At 44.1% G+C, this 16,946-nt stretch overlaps 2 protein-coding genes across 12 annotated transcripts in view, besides 2 other annotated features; one reads left to right on the top strand and one right to left on the bottom strand.

Annotated features, from left to right (window-relative positions):
* TUBGCP4 (tubulin gamma complex component 4) overlaps positions 1-3,843 on the bottom strand; it is a 38,671-nt gene extending 34,828 nt beyond the window's left edge. For all 8 annotated transcript variants that reach the window (NM_001286414.3, XM_011521454.4, NM_014444.5 and 5 more), the window contains exon 1: positions 3,512-3,843. In NM_001286414.3, coding sequence (NP_001273343.1) covers positions 3,512-3,589 — 78 coding nt within the window. In that variant the 5' untranslated portion in view covers positions 3,590-3,843. The remainder of the gene's footprint in view (positions 1-3,511) is intronic.
* Positions 3,713-3,832: an enhancer, noted in NCBI's record as "active region_9313". NCBI's record gives its function as "activates an Ori minimal core promoter by ATAC-STARR-seq in GM12878 lymphoblastoid cells {active_cell/tissue: GM12878}" and the evidence as "EXISTENCE:reporter gene assay evidence [ECO:0000049][PMID:35858748]".
* Positions 3,901-16,769, top strand: ZSCAN29 (zinc finger and SCAN domain containing 29). Of its 4 annotated transcripts, none has more exons than NM_001372080.1 (6): positions 3,901-4,386; positions 4,919-5,348; positions 5,817-6,021; positions 8,136-8,834; positions 10,562-11,029; positions 13,003-16,769. In NM_001372080.1, exons 2-6 carry the CDS (start codon positions 5,031-5,033, stop codon positions 13,869-13,871), a joined length of 2,559 nt encoding a protein of 852 aa, NP_001359009.1. In that variant the 5' UTR covers positions 3,901-4,386; positions 4,919-5,030; the 3' UTR covers positions 13,872-16,769. The 4 variants fall into 4 exon arrangements, with proteins under 4 accessions (NP_001359009.1, XP_047288143.1, NP_689668.3 ...); XM_047432187.1 differs by having other exon boundaries at positions 4,599-5,348; NM_152455.4 differs by lacking the exon at positions 3,901-4,386 and having other exon boundaries at positions 4,882-5,348.
* Positions 3,933-4,202: a silencer, noted in NCBI's record as "silent region_6385". NCBI's record gives its function as "represses an Ori minimal core promoter by ATAC-STARR-seq in GM12878 lymphoblastoid cells {active_cell/tissue: GM12878}" and the evidence as "EXISTENCE:reporter gene assay evidence [ECO:0000049][PMID:35858748]".
* Positions 16,770-16,946: the final 177 nt, after the last annotated feature.

Raw genomic sequence — 16,946 nt, 5'->3', positions numbered from 1 at the left:
GCAACAGAGCGAGACTCTGTCTCAAAAAAAGTGGAATCATTATTTGTCCTTTTGTGACTGGCTTATTTCAGCTCATCCATGTTGTAGCACATGCCAGAATTTCCTTCCTTTTTAAGGCTGAACAATATTCCCTTGTGTGTATATACCACATCTCAATTACCTATTCGTCCCTGCACTGACACTTGCTTCCACCTCTCAGCGATTGTGAATAATGCTTGGTGAACACGGGTGTACAAATATCTGTTGGGTTCCTGCTTTCACTTCTTTTGGGATATACCCTGAAGTAGAACTGCTAGATTGTATGGGAATTTTATATTTAATTTTTTTTTTTAGAGACAAGGTTTCACTCTGTCACCCAGACTGGAATACAGTGGTGGGTTCATAGCTCACTGTAACCTTGAACCCCTAGGTTCAACCAATTCTCCCACCTCAGCCACCAGAGTAGCTAGGACTACAGGCATGTGTCACCATGCCCAGCTAATTAAAAATTTTTTTTTTGTAGAGATGGAGTCTTGCTCTGTTGCGCAGGCTAGCCTCAAACTCCTGGCATTAACTGATCCTCCAGCCTCACCCTCCCAAAGTGCTGAGATCACAAGTGTCAGCCGCTGTGCCTGGCCTTTATTTAATTTTTTGAAGAACTGCCATACCATTTTCCACAATGGCTGTACCATTTTACATTTCCATTACTATATCCCAGGTACTGTGCTAATACTTTGAGATAAAAGAGTGAACAAAATCAGATACAATTACTGCTCCAAAGGAACTTAGCATATTATATGGATGGATATATAATATGGATTATATGTGGATGCCATTTTATATGACAGTAAATGTGGTAACAAATAGGCGAAGAAGAATTTTTCTGTTACCAAGTCCATAGAAAATTGATTAGGAATCCAATTAATGTAGATTTTAATGACACAATGCTAATCACATCTTCAAGTTAGTAACTTAAGAGGTTGCACAACACGGTGCTTAAGAACCTGGTCTCTTGCCGGGCGCAGTGGCTCACGCCTGTAATCCCAGCACTTTGGGAGGCCGAGGTGGGCGGATCACGAGGTCAGGAGATCGAGACCATCCTGGCTAACACGGTGAAACCCCATCTTTACTAAAAAAACTACAAAAAAATTAGCCGGGTGTGGCGGCAGGCGCCTGTAGTCCCAGCTGCTCGGGAGGCTGAGGCAGGAGAATGGCGTGAACCCAGGAGGTGGAGCTTGCAGTGAGCCGAGATTGCACCACTGCACTCCAGCCTGGGCGACAGAGCGAGACTCCATCTCGGAAAAAAAAAAAAAAAAAAAGAACCTGGTCTCTGGAGCCCAACTGCCTGGGTTTGAATCCCTGAGTTGCCTCTTACTTGCTTGAAAGCTTAGGCAAGTTACTATACCTGTCTGTGCCTGTTTTCATACCTATAAACTGAAGAAAATAATTGTGAGGATTAAATAAGTTAATACATGTGTAAAGCACATATCCCAACCACATAGCTAGTGCTCAATACACATAAGCAATTTTATATTATTAACAAGACAGCTCTACCAGTTATCAAGTGATACTACTATTAAAATTGGCATTTGAGCGTTTCTTGTTGGCAGAGTTTTCGAAAAGTTCAATATCTAATTATTCTGAAACAGCAAATAATAACTCGAAGTTACTGATACCATTCTATATAACACAGTTATAGGAACAGGCTGAGAAATCCTGCATTAGAATAATGGTCATTTGAACTTATTGATTTGGTAGTTTTGTTTACTTTTAATTTATAAAAATATTTGATTTTATAGTTGTTTAAGAGTATTATGCTTGAGTTTATACCTAGCTTATGTATATACATATTCAATATAATAAAATAATTTTCATTAACACTTGGCACTCATGACAACTTTTCCCTTTACTCAAATGTAAAAGACACTGCTCTGCAGAAATTATGTAATATTTGCCATCTTTGTCTTCTTTTCTTCCATCAATACCTAAACACCTGCTATGTGGCAGAAACTGTGCTAGGTGCTCTGGGTAGATGAATGAAGAAGACCACTGGTCTTCGCTCCCAGGGGCAATCTATGCGGGAGAAAGGCTAAAAACAGGTAACAACAATACATTATGAATTGTGACAAATCCTACAAGGGAAATAAACAAGTTGATGGAGAATAATGGCATCAGGGGAGGATGCTTAAAGATGTGCTCAGAGAAAGTTTTTCTGACAAAGTGACTTTAAAGCTGAGACCTTGAGGATGAAATGGTAGAAAATACATGATTGAGAATTTTTCATAAGAAAGAAAGGAAGGGAAAAGATGAATTACTTGTGGTTGTCTCCCCCACCCCCTCCCTAGCTATCTTTCCTGTACTGTGTTATCTCTTCTTATTTTGGACCATCAGGCACCCACATACTTCCTAAATACTGTCCTCCTATATGCCTGGCATTGTACTAAGATCTATGGAGAAAAGTGAAACATCGAATTAGTCTTCAAAGACCTACAGGTGAAAGATAACAATTCAAACTCCACCACACAAATCTTCACCTGTTTTTTTCAAAAATTCACCTAAACTCCCAAACTCCAAATACATGTTCATAAATAATAACGAAAGGAAACTGTTTGATTTATAGGTTTTATAGACTAAGAATGTACTTTTTCTGCTCTTCCACAGTCTCCTAAGAATCGGCATGTCTTGGTGATCAGACGGACCTAGATTTCAGTCTTGCCACTACTAGGACTGGCCAGCATAAAGTTTTCTGAGCTTCAGTTTGCTCATTTGTTAACTGGTAGAAACAATACCTAAGTGGACTAAATTATTGAGAGCATTAGATAACATTACTGGAAGCAGAAGCAGGTAAAAGTAGTTCAAATACTGAAGCCAGACAGACCTGGCTTCAAAACTAAGCTCTGTTAATTACTAGCTATGACCCCGATAGTTATTTAACTATTCTAAACCTAGCTTAATCTGTAAAATGGATAAGGTGGTTGTGAGGATTAAATAAGATAATGCATACGGAACATCATACATTCCTGGTTACACAAAGGCCCCCTACCAAGTGCTTTACCTAGTGCAGAAATTTTCTGGTAAAGGAGTAATGAGGGAAACACCACACGCTCTCGATTTCATTTATTTCCTTCAACAAACTTTACTGAGCGCTTACCATGTGTTTGGGAGCTGTGTATTTGGCCCAGTACTTCAAAACTCAAACAATGCACGTGTGAAAATAAATAGGAGAAAGTGCCTCCCACACTTCTATATCATTCCCCAGCAACTGTCAGACACCTGGACCTCAGGCCCTTTCCTCGCCCCGCCACAGGTGGGGCTCTTCGAGGTCTGCCCTCCGTTTTCTAGCCTAGGCCCGGCCTCTCTAGGTGTCGCATCAGCCTTGACCCTAAGGGGCTGCCCTCCAGTCACCTGTCCAGGGATACGCCCCCAGCCCTGGAAGCCCCGCTCGCTAGGTCCCTCAGCCTACTCCCCCAGGCGCTGGCTCAGGTCCCCCCTCCTGCGCTCCCTGGTTCCCGCGCTCTGCGCCGGACAGTACCTGCAGGCCACTCCGCTTGTTCCAGGTGAAAATGGACCCAGGGTACCCGCTCAGAGCCAAGAGCAGTTCGTGGATCATTCCCACGGCGGACCTCGAGTCCCTGGTTATGTCACCCCCTCCTCCAGCGCACCTCCAGGCGACCACGAGGGGAGTGCTTCCCCTTCCACACGCGCACCGGCCCCTGGGTCGGGCGGTTTGTGCCGAATCAACCCACCGAGACAATCGCTGCGGCGGAGCGGACGGGAAGCTGGGAAGGGGTCGCGGGGGAGTCCCGGAAGTTCGGCAGCTCAACGGGGTCCACCAGCTACTCCCGCCCGGGCTCTGCGGAGACTGAGTCGCGGTCGCTGCCCTCGCGCATGCGCCCTCGGTGCCCCGAGCCGCCCGCTCGGACTTCCGGTTTGGGAGCTGTACTTGGGAGGCTGGAGAGCCGGGGCCGGGGCCGGGGCCGGGGCCGGGGTCAGGGTCGGACCCCGAGTGGGTGAGGCTGGCCCGGAGGCAAGGATGCGAGGGGGTTGAGGGGCAGCTCGAGAGGGAGACGCTCCCAGGGGTGGGCTGGAGGGCGCCCTCAGGGCGCCTTAGCCGGGTCAGAGGCCTCTGGAGGGACCGCACGACGGCTCCGGGTTACCCGGCCGGAGGGAGCGGAGACAAAAGAGGCCAGAATCCCGCAGCCGCTGCTCCTTGGGCTGAGAGCTCTGCGTCCGCGAACCGGCAGCACCTGGAGCCTCTGGCCGACACCCGAGCCCGTCCTCAGGAAGCCCGTTACTACTGCTCCTCGGATTCCGTCTCTCCTGCCCAATGTGACTCTCCCCAAGCCCCCATGGTCCTCGCTTTGGAGCCAAAACCAGCTTCTCTCCTTGCGCGAGGTTTTCCGACAGGTAGCTCCCTAATCCTTGCTGAGCGGCTACTACTACGCGGGGAAAACAAAGACCCGAGATTCTGGACGTGATTTTTGCCTGGGGTGGGCTTTGGGAGTTGTGCAGCCCGAGGGGGCGGGGCGGACGCAGAAGGCCTCGGGAAGGACTGCGGAGATACTGGGGGAGATCAGCTGCGACCAGCTGGACAGAGGCTTTTTGTTGCCTTCAAGCAGGATGGTGACTTGTCTTTAGATCCTCTCGAACTCCAGCTCTCCTATATGGTTCGGACTCACTGTGCAACATTGGCCAGGGAAGTTAAATGGGATCGGATTTGGAGGAGGTGGGAGAGGGGCAGACAGTACTTTTATTCTCTGCTGCTTCCTGGGGCTGCCCTGGAAGTCAACCAGAAAAGCAGTTTTTGCAAAGTCTATTTACTGAAGATTGTGCTACCTTAGAAGGCCACTCGGAGCACATGGAAAGGCAGGCCAGCTCTGGCAAGACTTTAGACATATGAATGTATTCCTTCTGATAGTGCCATCTTTCTCTGCCCTAGGAAGAAACACCTCTTACAGTCATCTGCAGGGGATTCTCCAAGGACATGGGAAGATAGATGTAAGCCCTGGAACCCAGACTCCTAAGCGAAGGGAAGCTGCATTCTGCTATTAATGATGGCCAAATCAGCTCTAAGAGAGAATGGCACTAACTCTGAGACCTTCCGACAGCGTTTCAGGAGATTCCATTACCAGGAGGTGGCTGGGCCGCGGGAGGCTTTCAGCCAACTCTGGGAACTTTGCTGTCGGTGGCTAAGGCCGGAGGTGCGCACCAAGGAGCAGATTGTAGAACTGTTGGTGCTAGAGCAGTTCCTGACCGTCTTACCTGGGGAGATCCAGAATTGGGTACAGGAACAATGTCCAGAAAATGGAGAGGAGGCAGTGACTCTCGTGGAAGATTTAGAAAGAGAGCCTGGAAGACCTAGATCTTCGGTGAGAAGGGAGGGGGAATTCAAATTCAAAAGTGTGATACTGGGTGGAGGGCTAAATTAAGATATAGACAGGCTTAAAGAGGGACACAGTCTCCCTTGGTGAGGCTTATACTTCTGGTCTGGTATAGGTAACTTTTTCAGATAGTGCTTGTCTGGAGATGCTTCCTGGGTGTACCTTCACCTACCCTGTCATAATGAGTTTTTCCTATAGTTTCTTAATAGGGAAGAAAGGGGATTTTTTTTTTTCAGCCTGAAGGTGGGTTTACTATTTTGATCGTTTCCTTCTGGAGTTTCAACTGCTTTAAGCTAATGGCAATGGAATAAGACCCTTGTTCGCGTTAACCTCCCTCACCCCTACAACCCTGGCCATGGCTCTGAAAGATGATCTCTTTTGGGGTATTAAATACTCTCCTCTGGGAATGCCCCTCATTATGATCTTGCAGTGACAATTAACGGGGGTTGTTTCTAGGTCACAGTCTCTGTGAAGGGGCAGGAAGTGCGCTTGGAGAAGATGACACCCCCGAAATCATCACAAGAGTTATTAAGTGTTCGGCAGGAGTCAGTGGAACCCCAGCCCAGGGGTGTACCCAAGAAAGAGAGGGCAAGAAGCCCAGACCTGGGACCACAGGAGCAGATGAACCCAAAGGAGAAGCTCAAACCTTTTCAAAGGAGCGGTGAGGAGTAGATTCATATGGGAAGATAGACTGCCATTCCAAGTTGGGAAGTAGGGTTGGGAATAGTGAGTGGGAAAGGGATTTCAGGAGTAAGTGGAAATTGCAGAATATGTGGTTGTTGACATGTAGTTTAGCCTCTGGTATTCATATTACCTCTTGATAAGTCCACAAGAGAATGGCTCCCTAGTTTTTATCGGAACTTGGAATTATTTTATTTCCTCTTGGTAATGATGATAGTATAGGTCATTATTTTCTAGATAAAAATTCTTTTCTATACTTGAAGGCACATCTTCCTTTTGGTTGTTTTCCATCTTCAAATTAAACTATATTTGTTACCTTAAGCTTTCCCCCAGAAGATCCATTCTTTTTTTTTTTTTTTTTTTTTTTTTTTTTTTTTGAGACGGAGTCTCGCTCTGTCGCCCAGGCTGGAGTGCAGTGGCGGGATCTCGGCTCACTGCAAGCTCCGCCTCCCGGGTTCACGCCATTCTCCTGCCTCAGCCTCCCAAGTAGCTGGGACTACAGGCGCCCGCCACTACGCCCGGCTAATTTTTTTGTATTTTTAGTAGAGACGGGGTTTCACCGTTTTAGCCGGGATGGTCTCGATCTCTTGACCTCGTGATCCGCCCGCCTCGGCCTCCCAAAGTGCTGGGATTACAGGCGTGAGCCACCGCGCCCGGCCAAGATCCATTCTTTAAACCTAAGTTTCTGTTGCTCTCTATTGGAACCTTTAAGTTCTCCAAATATCATGTTAATTGTGGGGAACTAAATTATGTTTATTATTTTCCTGAAAGTCTGTTAGAAGCTAAGTAAGAATTTTACTTCAGAATCTTGCAATGTCTTGTATCAGTATAGCCCAACCTGTTATATTTTTTTGTTCACCTGGTAACTTCCAGGACTCTGATAGCTTTCCCCAATGCCTTTATACCTAGTTGATTATTCTTGTACTTGATTTTTGTAGAACTTGTTTTTCTTCTTTGTAGTCTATTGATCTCCATGTTGTATGCTTTTTTCTGTTACCATTTCACTTAAAATTTGTTGAGGTTGTTTTGAATTCTGATCTTATCATCCAAGACAATAGCCTTCTCAGCCAGTTTGGTAATGGTCTGTTTAGTCACCCAGATGAAATCCCTGAATCTCACACACAGACTTGCAGAGTTCATCAGTTTTTGAACACCTGTCAAGGTGCTCAACATCTTGCAGGGTACTCTGCAATAAGAAAATGTGCCTATCCTCAAAGAACTTAAAAACATGATTGAGAACACTATAGCTAACTCTTAAGTATGTGCCGAACTGAACTGAACTGAAACAGTGCCAGACAATGACTTGCCCAATTGTGTGAGTACCGTATGGGTTTGTCAGAGTGGGAGATGAGGGAGGGCTGACGGTAAGGCTTCTTGAGGGCACTGGCAAATACAGCCTCTTGAAGGATGGGCTAAAATTGGATAGGAGGGAATTAAAAGTAAAGGCACAGAGTGGTGAACAACAGTGTGCTGTGTTCTGAAGGGAAGAGTCTGACAGGAATGGGTATGGTAGGCACTAAGGTTAAGGTTCACCAGGGTAGCATGTGCACTGGCAAGCAAGAGCCTGCGGTTAGGTAGAACAGTGACTGCTGCAATTATCTGGGTGTGAGAGGATAAGTAGTCTGGACTTGGATGGTGGCAGTAGGAATAGAGAGGAAGGACTACTAAGGTGAACACCTTTAGAACCTGGTGACTGACTGTGAAGGAAACGGATAAGGTAAAGACAATCTTCTCTCGCTTCCCCCTTGAAATCACGCCGAGTTTAATTCTGTAGCCCCAAGTGAAGAACAATTATTCCCAGCAGTACTAGGACCTGCCTACAAATAGGAGAGCTTGGAATAGAATTATCTGCTCTGAACACACAACAGAATCCTTTCCTCTCTTGTCACCCTGCTCTGGAAAATAAAACATTTCTCATCTTTTGAGGTTTCCTGTATTTTCCCCACCTTTTTCAGCCCACTGAACTTTCTGAAAACATTTCCCTAGACACTTTGTTTATAATCCTCTTGGATGAAAAAGGCAGGACTGAATTTCAAGATTTTTGTGATAATCAGTCCAAACTATGACAACTTTTGTTTGTTTCCCTGCAAGCAGGATTGCCATTTCCTAAATCCGGTGTGGTCTCCAGGTTGGAGCAAGGAGAGCCATGGATCCCAGATCTGCTGGGCTCTAAGGAGAAAGAACTTCCAAGTGGCAGCCACATAGGAGACAGACGAGTGCATGCTGATCTGTTACCATCCAAGAAAGATAGAAGAAGCTGGGTGGAACAGGATCACTGGAGCTTTGAAGATGAGAAGGTGGCAGGTGTGCACTGGGGCTATGAAGAGACCAGAACGCTCCTCGCAATTCTCAGCCAGACTGAGTTTTATGAGGCTCTCAGAAACTGCCATAGGAACAGCCAAGTGTATGGGGCTGTGGCTGAGCGGCTCAGGGAATATGGCTTCCTCCGGACCCTGGAACAGTGTCGGACCAAGTTCAAAGGTCTCCAGAAGAGCTATCGGAAAGTCAAGAGCGGCCACCCACCTGAGACCTGCCCCTTCTTTGAAGAGATGGAAGCCCTGATGAGTGCTCAGGTCATTGCCCTGCCCAGTAATGGCCTGGAAGCAGCAGCCTCTCACTCTGGCCTGGTAGGCAGCGATGCTGAGACTGAAGAGCCAGGGCAGAGGGGCTGGCAGCATGAGGAGGGAGCAGAAGAGGCTGTGGCTCAGGAGTCTGACAGTGATGACATGGATCTAGAGGCGACCCCCCAGGACCCCAACTCAGCTGCACCTGTTGTGTTCAGAAGCCCAGGTGGTAAGAAGCTTTTCTTCTTGGAGTTTTGGAATTAGACTTGGGGAACAAAGAGACTGGATGTGGAGTCAGAAGGCTTAATGTCACATGCCAGCTTTGCCACTTAGGGAACAAAGAAGTGCTTCTCCATTCTTTGTGTGTATTTCATTCTCTTTTATGGGAAAATCAGTGAGATAATTGGGAATACATTTAGATTTTTAGAAGAAATACACTCAGAAAATTCACAGTCCTGAGAAGGAGTATCATTCCTTCCATTTCTTTACTAAACTATTTTTTTCCCTGATTTTAAAATCATTGCAGCAGGCTCACTGAGAAAAATGTGGCACAATATTATCTTTAAGTAGAACCAGTGTTTATTGAGTATGTCATATGAACTTGATGTTTTACATATTTTATCTTTTACTTCCCCAAAGCTCAAAGTCAGTTTATTATATTCGTTTTTACTTAGAATAGTACAGTGAAGAATTGTCCAAAGTTGGGGAAACATTTTTTTCTTTAAAAATTTTAAAATATATTTAAACAGAGACAGGGTCTTGCTGTGTTGCCCAGGCTGGTCTCACTGGGTTCAAGCAGTCCTCCCACCTCAGCCTTCTGAGTAGTTAGGACTACAGGTGTGAGCCACCACACTGAGCTGGGAAACATCTAAGTTTCCTCTGAGATTCATAGTATACATTGGCATTTTAACAGGATTGAGAAGTCCTACAGTGAGAAAGCTTGTTTAACACTCTATTTAAATATTCTTGCCTATGGAATCCTTTTTAAAGTATCATTTACTACCATTAATGTAATCGGTACAACTATGCTGTTATGGAAAGAGCACCAAAGTATGACTCAGGAGGCTTAGATTCTAATCCTGATGACCACTAATAAACTGGGCGACCTTGAGCAGTTATCTAACCATTCTAAGCTTCCATTTCCTCAAGTGTAAAATGGGGCAAAGCAGGAGGACTACATCGCTAAAGTTGCAGTTCCTTTGTGAGCAGTGGTCTTTTCCTTCTGTTTTTTGTGACATGCATGATCTTATTTTAGTTCTGTTCTAGCTTTCTGGTCTTTGTGTCTTCTGCTTTTTCGTTTCTCTTTATTTTTCTTGTTTTCTTCATTCTCTTTTTCCTTTTTTGTTGCAGACACAAATATATGTAGGTTAATTAAATGTGGCACATGTGCTCAATGTTATTTTCATTATCATTGTTCTTTCACTTTTTTTTTTTTTTTTTTTTTTTGAGACAGAGTCGCTTTGTTGTCCAGGCTGGAGTGCAGTGGTGTGATCTCATCTCACTGCAACCTCCACCTCCCCAGTTCAAGCGATTCTCGATTCTCATGCCTCAGCCTCCCAAGTAGCTGGGACTATAGGTGCACACCACCACGCCTGGCTAATTTTTCTGTGTTTTTAGTAGAGACAGGCTTTCACCATGTTGTCCAGGCTGGTCTCAAACTCCTGGCCCCAAGCGATCCACAGGGATTACAGGCATAAGCCACTGTGCCTGGCCAGCTTCTTTTTTATATGGCTAAACAGAATTTGTAAATAAAGGTCTCTGTGAAATTGCTAAAGGATATAAAGAAGCAAAACATTCTATACTGAGTTTGTGGATTTTGGAAACATGAAGTATTTTTACTTTTTCATCTAGGAGCCTGAGCTTAGGTGAATTCTCATGATGCAGATGATAGGACTGAGGAATTCAGGCTCTAAAGCTCTGGATTAAGTGGTGCTGAAATTTCTCTTCTGGTGGCAGGTGTACACTGGGGCTATGAAGAGACCAAGACTTACCTTGCAATTCTTAGTGAGACCCAGTTTTATGAAGCCCTCCGGAACTGTCACCGCAACAGCCAGCTGTATGGAGCAGTGGCTGAGAGGTTATGGGAATATGGCTTTCTTAGGACCCCAGAACAGTGTCGGACCAAGTTTAAAAGCCTGCAAACCAGCTATCGGAAAGTTAAGAATGGCCAGGCACCAGAGACCTGTCCCTTCTTTGAAGAGATGGATGCTTTGGTGAGTGTCCGGGTTGCTGCCCCACCCAATGATGGCCAGGAAGAGACTGCTTCTTGCCCCGTCCAGGGGACCAGTGAGGCTGAAGCTCAGAAGCAAGCTGAGGAAGCAGACGAGGCCACAGAGGAAGATTCTGATGATGATGAAGAGGATACTGAGATACCCCCAGGGGCTGTCATAACCCGTGCTCCAGTGTTATTCCAAAGCCCCCGTGGTAAGATTATTTCACTATTATGGTATAAATAACAAAGGGAAGACAATGGGACTTAGGAAAAATATCATCTGATTGAGAACTGGCCTCTACACCCAGCTTTCATGGATTCTTCTTGTGACCACCCATATTTCTTGTCTATTAAAGCAGCTCACTGAGGGGATATAAATTATTTATGTGACTTGACTTCCCACACTAGAGCATCAATCTGAGATAGCTGCACATTGTAAATTTGCTGTGATTTATTCATGAACCACTAGGTTTCCAACCAGTTTACTAAGCAGGGAATCTGAAAGCTCACATTTCTCAAGTAGCATGTCACGTACCCACGGTAGGATGAAGTTGATTTTAAAAGTTCATTCTCTTTTATATGTCTTCTTCTAGTTTCAGCTCATATACCAGCTGTATGTCTGCTTTATTCACATTTATGAAAATCTGATAACTGTTGTTCACTTTTATGAATCTGAGGTTCCTGAGAGAACTGACCCTTTGAATCTTAGCTGCTAGATAAGAAAAAAATACTTCACAAGGGCTTCCATCCTTGTGAGAAGAGTTCTGATTTCAGAGTCATATATGTGTACGTATGTGAATCTGGGCTCTGTTGTTTATTAGTTAAGTGACTTAGAGAAGGTTACTTAAGGCTGGGCATGGTGGCACATGCCTGTAATCCCAGCATTTTGGGAGGCCGAGGCGGGCAGATCACCTGAGGTCGGGAGTTGGAAAGCAGCCTGACCAACACGGCGAAACCCCATCTCTATTAAAAATACAAAAAATTAGCCAGGGGTGGTAGCGCGCACCTGTAATCCCAGCTACTTGGGTGGCTGAGGCAGGAGAATCGCTTGAACCTGGGAGGCAGAGGTTGCAGTGAGCTGAGATCGTGCCATTGCACTCCTGCCTGGGCAACGAATGAAAAAAAAAAAAAAGTTACTTAACCCCCAAGTTTGCTTATATATTAAGACCTACCTCATAGGGTTGATGTAAATGAGGTACTGTGCACAGTGCCTGGCACATAGTAGCCATTTAATAATAGTTTTCATTTTCATAAGTCTTTAAGATCAGCATTTTTTAATGTTGTTCCCTGGAATATCAATTCCATGGGGTATTAATATATTCTACTAAAAAATAACTTATAGGTTTGGGAAGATGGTAAATACCCCTGTTGGAGGCTCACAATACATATTCACATATTTAAGGTTCTAAGATTTATTTAATCTAGTGAATATTTCATGAAATATCTCATAAGACTAGGCTTCTGGGTAGAAATACTGTCTCAGGAGGTACAAACATGGGCTGATACTCAACATGCTTTTACTCCTAGATTTAGTCTAGGGAATATGGGATTCAGAGTTTACCTGAAATAGCTGAATAAATGCAAATTTGCATAGCCTAGGCCCAAAAAAGCCAGGCATTTGGTTCTTAGGGCCTTTTGGTTCTTTGAAAGACACTACATATTTTTCTATCCTGTTTTTACTTGCAACGTATATTGGAATGTGAGGGGAAGGGGACTCATGAAGCTCCTCTGGATATAAAAGTTTCCAAAAATGTTTTCCTGAGCATGTCCTTCTAAACCTTTTAGTTACTGGTGAAGAACATGAATAAGAATACTATGACAGACCCGAGATGTGGCAAAAATACGTATTAGAAAGTGTCTTTCCTGTAGAAACATGGAAATTATTTTATCTAAAACCTGGTGATTTTCCATGCTGTACTGGGAGGATTTTCCAAAGATCCTAGATGACCAAGAGGAATTAAAAGTATATATTATTCAGACCCTATGTAGATGAGAAGCACATGATAGGTTAACAAGTAGAGAAGTAAAACATTGGGATTTTAATAAGATAATGGTAGTTATTTGGGATCTAGGGCTCCCTAAATTTTAATCATGTGGTGTAATGCTTGTTTTTCCCAAGTTTTACATTCCTGTGGCACATATGATTAAGAAAATAGATAACTTCTAAAATTCTGTTTTACATCAGGTTTTGAAGCTGGATTTGAGAATGAAGATAATTCAAAACGGGATATTTCTGAGGAAGTACAACTGCATAGGACATTACTTGCAAGATCTGAAAGGAAAATTCCCCGGTATCTTCATCAGGGTAAAGGCAATGAGAGTGACTGTAGATCAGGAAGACAGTGGGCAAAGACCTCAGGGGAGAAAAGAGGAAAACTGACACTCCCGGAGAAGAGCTTAAGTGAAGTCCTAAGTCAACAGAGACCTTGCTTGGGAGAGAGACCCTATAAATATCTCAAATACAGCAAAAGCTTTGGTCCAAACTCCCTTCTCATGCATCAGGTATCCCACCAGGTGGAAAATCCATATAAATGTGCTGATTGTGGGAAAAGCTTCAGTCGGAGTGCACGACTCATTAGACACCGGAGAATCCACACTGGAGAGAAACCTTATAAATGTCTTGACTGTGGAAAAAGTTTCCGTGACAGTTCAAATTTCATCACCCATAGGAGAATCCACACAGGAGAGAAACCTTATCAATGTGGTGAGTGTGGGAAATGCTTCAATCAGAGCTCAAGCCTTATCATTCACCAGAGAACCCACACAGGAGAAAAGCCCTATCAATGTGAAGAGTGTGGAAAAAGCTTCAATAACAGTTCTCATTTTAGTGCACATCGGAGGATACACACAGGAGAGAGACCCCATGTGTGTCCTGACTGTGGAAAGAGTTTCAGTAAGAGTTCTGACTTACGTGCACATCATAGAACCCACACAGGAGAGAAACCCTATGGGTGTCATGACTGTGGTAAGTGCTTCAGTAAAAGCTCTGCCCTTAATAAGCACGGAGAAATCCATGCACGGGAAAAGCTTCTGACACAGTCAGCTCCCAAGTAAGCCCCTGAGGATATATAACGGAAAGAGGCTCAATAAATGTATTGTTTAGAAAGTCTTCCAATAGTGAGATTCATCTACTATTCTGTGTCCAGTTAGCTTAGGAAATTCACTTTAGGATTTATGCCACTGTTTGTTCCTTGTTTTTCCTGATCTAGACTCAAATCCCCAAGGCAGTCTAAAGAATGAAAGGAAGATTTCAGTCCCTCTCTTTGCCTGCATCTGAATTGATGGATAACATCTTTTCCCTCTCAGTGCCTATGGTGTTCCCTTAATATAAGCACAGAGGACAAGGTAATAGATCCTATGAATTTGATAAGCATCCTTCTTTACTCATTCTGTCATTCAGCTGCATTTTGACAGGAAAAACCCATTACATTTCGAGAAGAAGTTATGAGACTTTGCCCATTAGGTGGGTCTAGCTCTTTTTTTTTTTTTTGGAGACGGAGTTTTGCTCTTGTTGCCCAGGCTGGAGTGCAATGGCACGATCTCAGCTCACTGCAACCTCTGCTTCCCGGGTTCAAGTGATTCTCCTGCCTCAGCCTCCCAAGTGGCTGGAATTACAAGCATGCGCCACCATGCCCAGCTAATTTTATATTTTTAGTAGAGATGGGGTTTCTCCATGTTGGGCAGGCTGGTCTCAAACTCCCGACCTCAGGTGATCTGCCTGCCTCGGCCTCCCAAAGTGCTGGGATTACAGGCATGAGCCACTGCGCCGGGCTTTTTTTTTTCGAGATGGAGTCTCACTCTGTCGTCCAGGCTGGAGTGCAGTGGCATGATCTCAGCTCACTGCAACCTCTGCCTTCTGGGTTCAAACAATTTTCCTGCCTCAGCCTCCTGAGTAGCTGGGATTACAGCCACCTGCCACCATACCAGGCTAAATTTTGCATTTTTAGTAGAGATGGGGTTTCACCATGTTGGCCAGGCTGGTTTTGAATTGACCTCATGATCTGCCTGCCTAGGTCTCCCAAAGTGCTGGGATTACAGGTGTGAGCCACTGCACCCGGCCCAGCTCTTCTTTATACAATAATGGAAATGCTAAAATGAATGACTCTTCCTGCTCACTTAAACCTGTGCTCAAAATGACATATTTGTCAGGCACCCTCTTCATTTACCTTAAAGAAGGAGAGTTTAATGTCCATCTTGGTTCTGCCCTATGAATCATCTTGTCAAGAACAGGTGTTCTTATGCAGAAACAATGAAAACCTTATACTGAAGTGTGAACCCTGGATTTCTTAGTTTCTTCTGAGTCCTAGAAGAAGGGTTGGAATAGAATAATACATTTACAGGATTTAGGTTGGTTTTCTTTCTGTCCAGTCTCATCTGAATTTCGTCTGTCTCTTGTGGTCCAGAAGTTCCACAGAGCAACGCAGCTGCATGTGGTGACAGGTAGAGCAGTTAAAGCTGCCAATAGGAACTCGTCCATATTCCACACACCTGGTATAGTGTTATGCCCTCCATGGGCACTTACCTGCAATAAGCAGAAGCCACTGCCACATTCCCGTGTATTGGGAAAATGGACTACTGTGTGCGAACAGGCCCTTTACCCTAATGGCAGGGAAGATGGATTATCTTTGGCCAGTGGAGCTGCCAATCTAGACATACACATTCAACTGAATACAATTAAAAGCAGTTCTTTAAATGCAAATATAATTACTCATCTTTATAATACAATAGTATTAACTGCCCATATGCTCATAGTATGATGAGCCCTGTATAGCACAAGGTCAACAGGTCCTCTCCTTGTCCTTACAATCTAAAGCAGATGACACTGACATGGACAAACAAGTGCACATGCATAGTTGCGGCAGTTTTAGAGAAATCTAGAAAGCTAGGTAGCAACACTATGCATAAATGTTGTGGTCCAATGCATTAGTTTGCTTTAACAAAAATCTGGGAGGTATTTTTTCTCTTTATTCAGGAAGGCTTCATGAAGCAGGAAGTGGTCAAAGGAGGGAAGGTTACTGGTTAAATTATGATAGGAAGAACTTTCCATAACTAGTTGCAAAATTGAGTGCTGGGTGGGTTGAGGAATGGGAAAAAGGGGGAGCAAGGTGTTTTGTGTAGATGGAACAAAGGGCAAAGGATAGACTGTAAGGAAGGCCAGATAAAGCTTGGAGTAGCATGAGAACTTGAGGAATAGTATGATATGGGCTGTGCAGCAGGCAGAGAGAATCACCTTAGCTGAAACATGGGTGTTAGGAGCAGACCATGAGGTGGTAGAACCATCATCTATAGTAAATCAGGTACTACGCTATAACTATTGATAAGGAAACAGCTGACTGCCACTGAAAGAATAAGCAGTTTTAGGGGACTAGCTCCTATGGGAGATAAAGGTCAGAAATCGTAGTATCTGATGAAGATATTTTGATGAGCAGGTGAGAAGAAAGATAAACATGGCCAGATGGCCAAGGACTGGGATAAGTAGCCGTTTCACATTCAATTAGAATTCTGTGGCTGGAATAAGATCAGGGAGAGCAGTAGGAAGATATAGTATTCTATAATTCATAGCTTGTTGTGTTAGAGATTAATTAGGATTCTGCTGTTGAATCTTAGTACAAAAAAATCTAATATTTATTAGGAATTAAGGGAAGATGGTACTTCTGTTATGTTGCCTAAGCAGACAGGAAGCTACAAGAAACACCAGTCTGAAGCAGTGCCTCAGGATCTCAGATGATTTAGGAAGTGTGCTGTAATGTCAAAAAAAAAAAAAAGTATTGTCTTTAGTATATCTATGTATAGTCTCGTGGGAAAAGCATTGGTTGTGGTATCAACAGATATTCTGGTTCCAGATGTCTTGTAAGTTAACCTGCCTCCATTTCCCTTTCTGTAAAGCAAAATAATGTTTACACCTAATCTGTCTCTCAGGGATACCATATTAATAAAAATCATGTCTATAAAGTGCCTGGTGTTTCTTGAAGTGTTTATGTGTGTGTGTGTATATATATACACAAATTACGATCAAGTTATGGAGGGCAGGAAAAGACCAATCTTTCTTTTTTTAACTCCTTGTGTGGGTTTACTAGAAGTATGCTTATCTGAATCTTTATATTCTAGAAAGAGGAATAAGTCAGATTG

The sequence above is a fragment of the Homo sapiens genome, chromosome 15, assembly GCF_000001405.40.
Source record: "Homo sapiens chromosome 15, GRCh38.p14 Primary Assembly".
NCBI classification, from domain to species: Eukaryota; Metazoa; Chordata; class Mammalia; order Primates; family Hominidae; genus Homo; species Homo sapiens.
Note: the sequence above shows the minus strand (reverse complement) of the source record. Positions and strands in the feature narration are given on the sequence as shown.

Coding starts and splice junctions, on each gene's coding strand:
- ZSCAN29 (NM_001372080.1), top strand. CDS start 5,031: ATGATGGCCAAATCAGCTCTAAGAGAGAATGGCACTAACTCTGAGACC. Junction 6,022..8,135: donor CAAACCTTTTCAAAGGAGCG/GTGAGGAGTAGA, acceptor CCCTGCAAGCAG/GATTGCCATTTCCTAAATCC. Junction 11,030..13,002: donor GTTATTCCAAAGCCCCCGTG/GTAAGATTATTT, acceptor GTTTTACATCAG/GTTTTGAAGCTGGATTTGAG.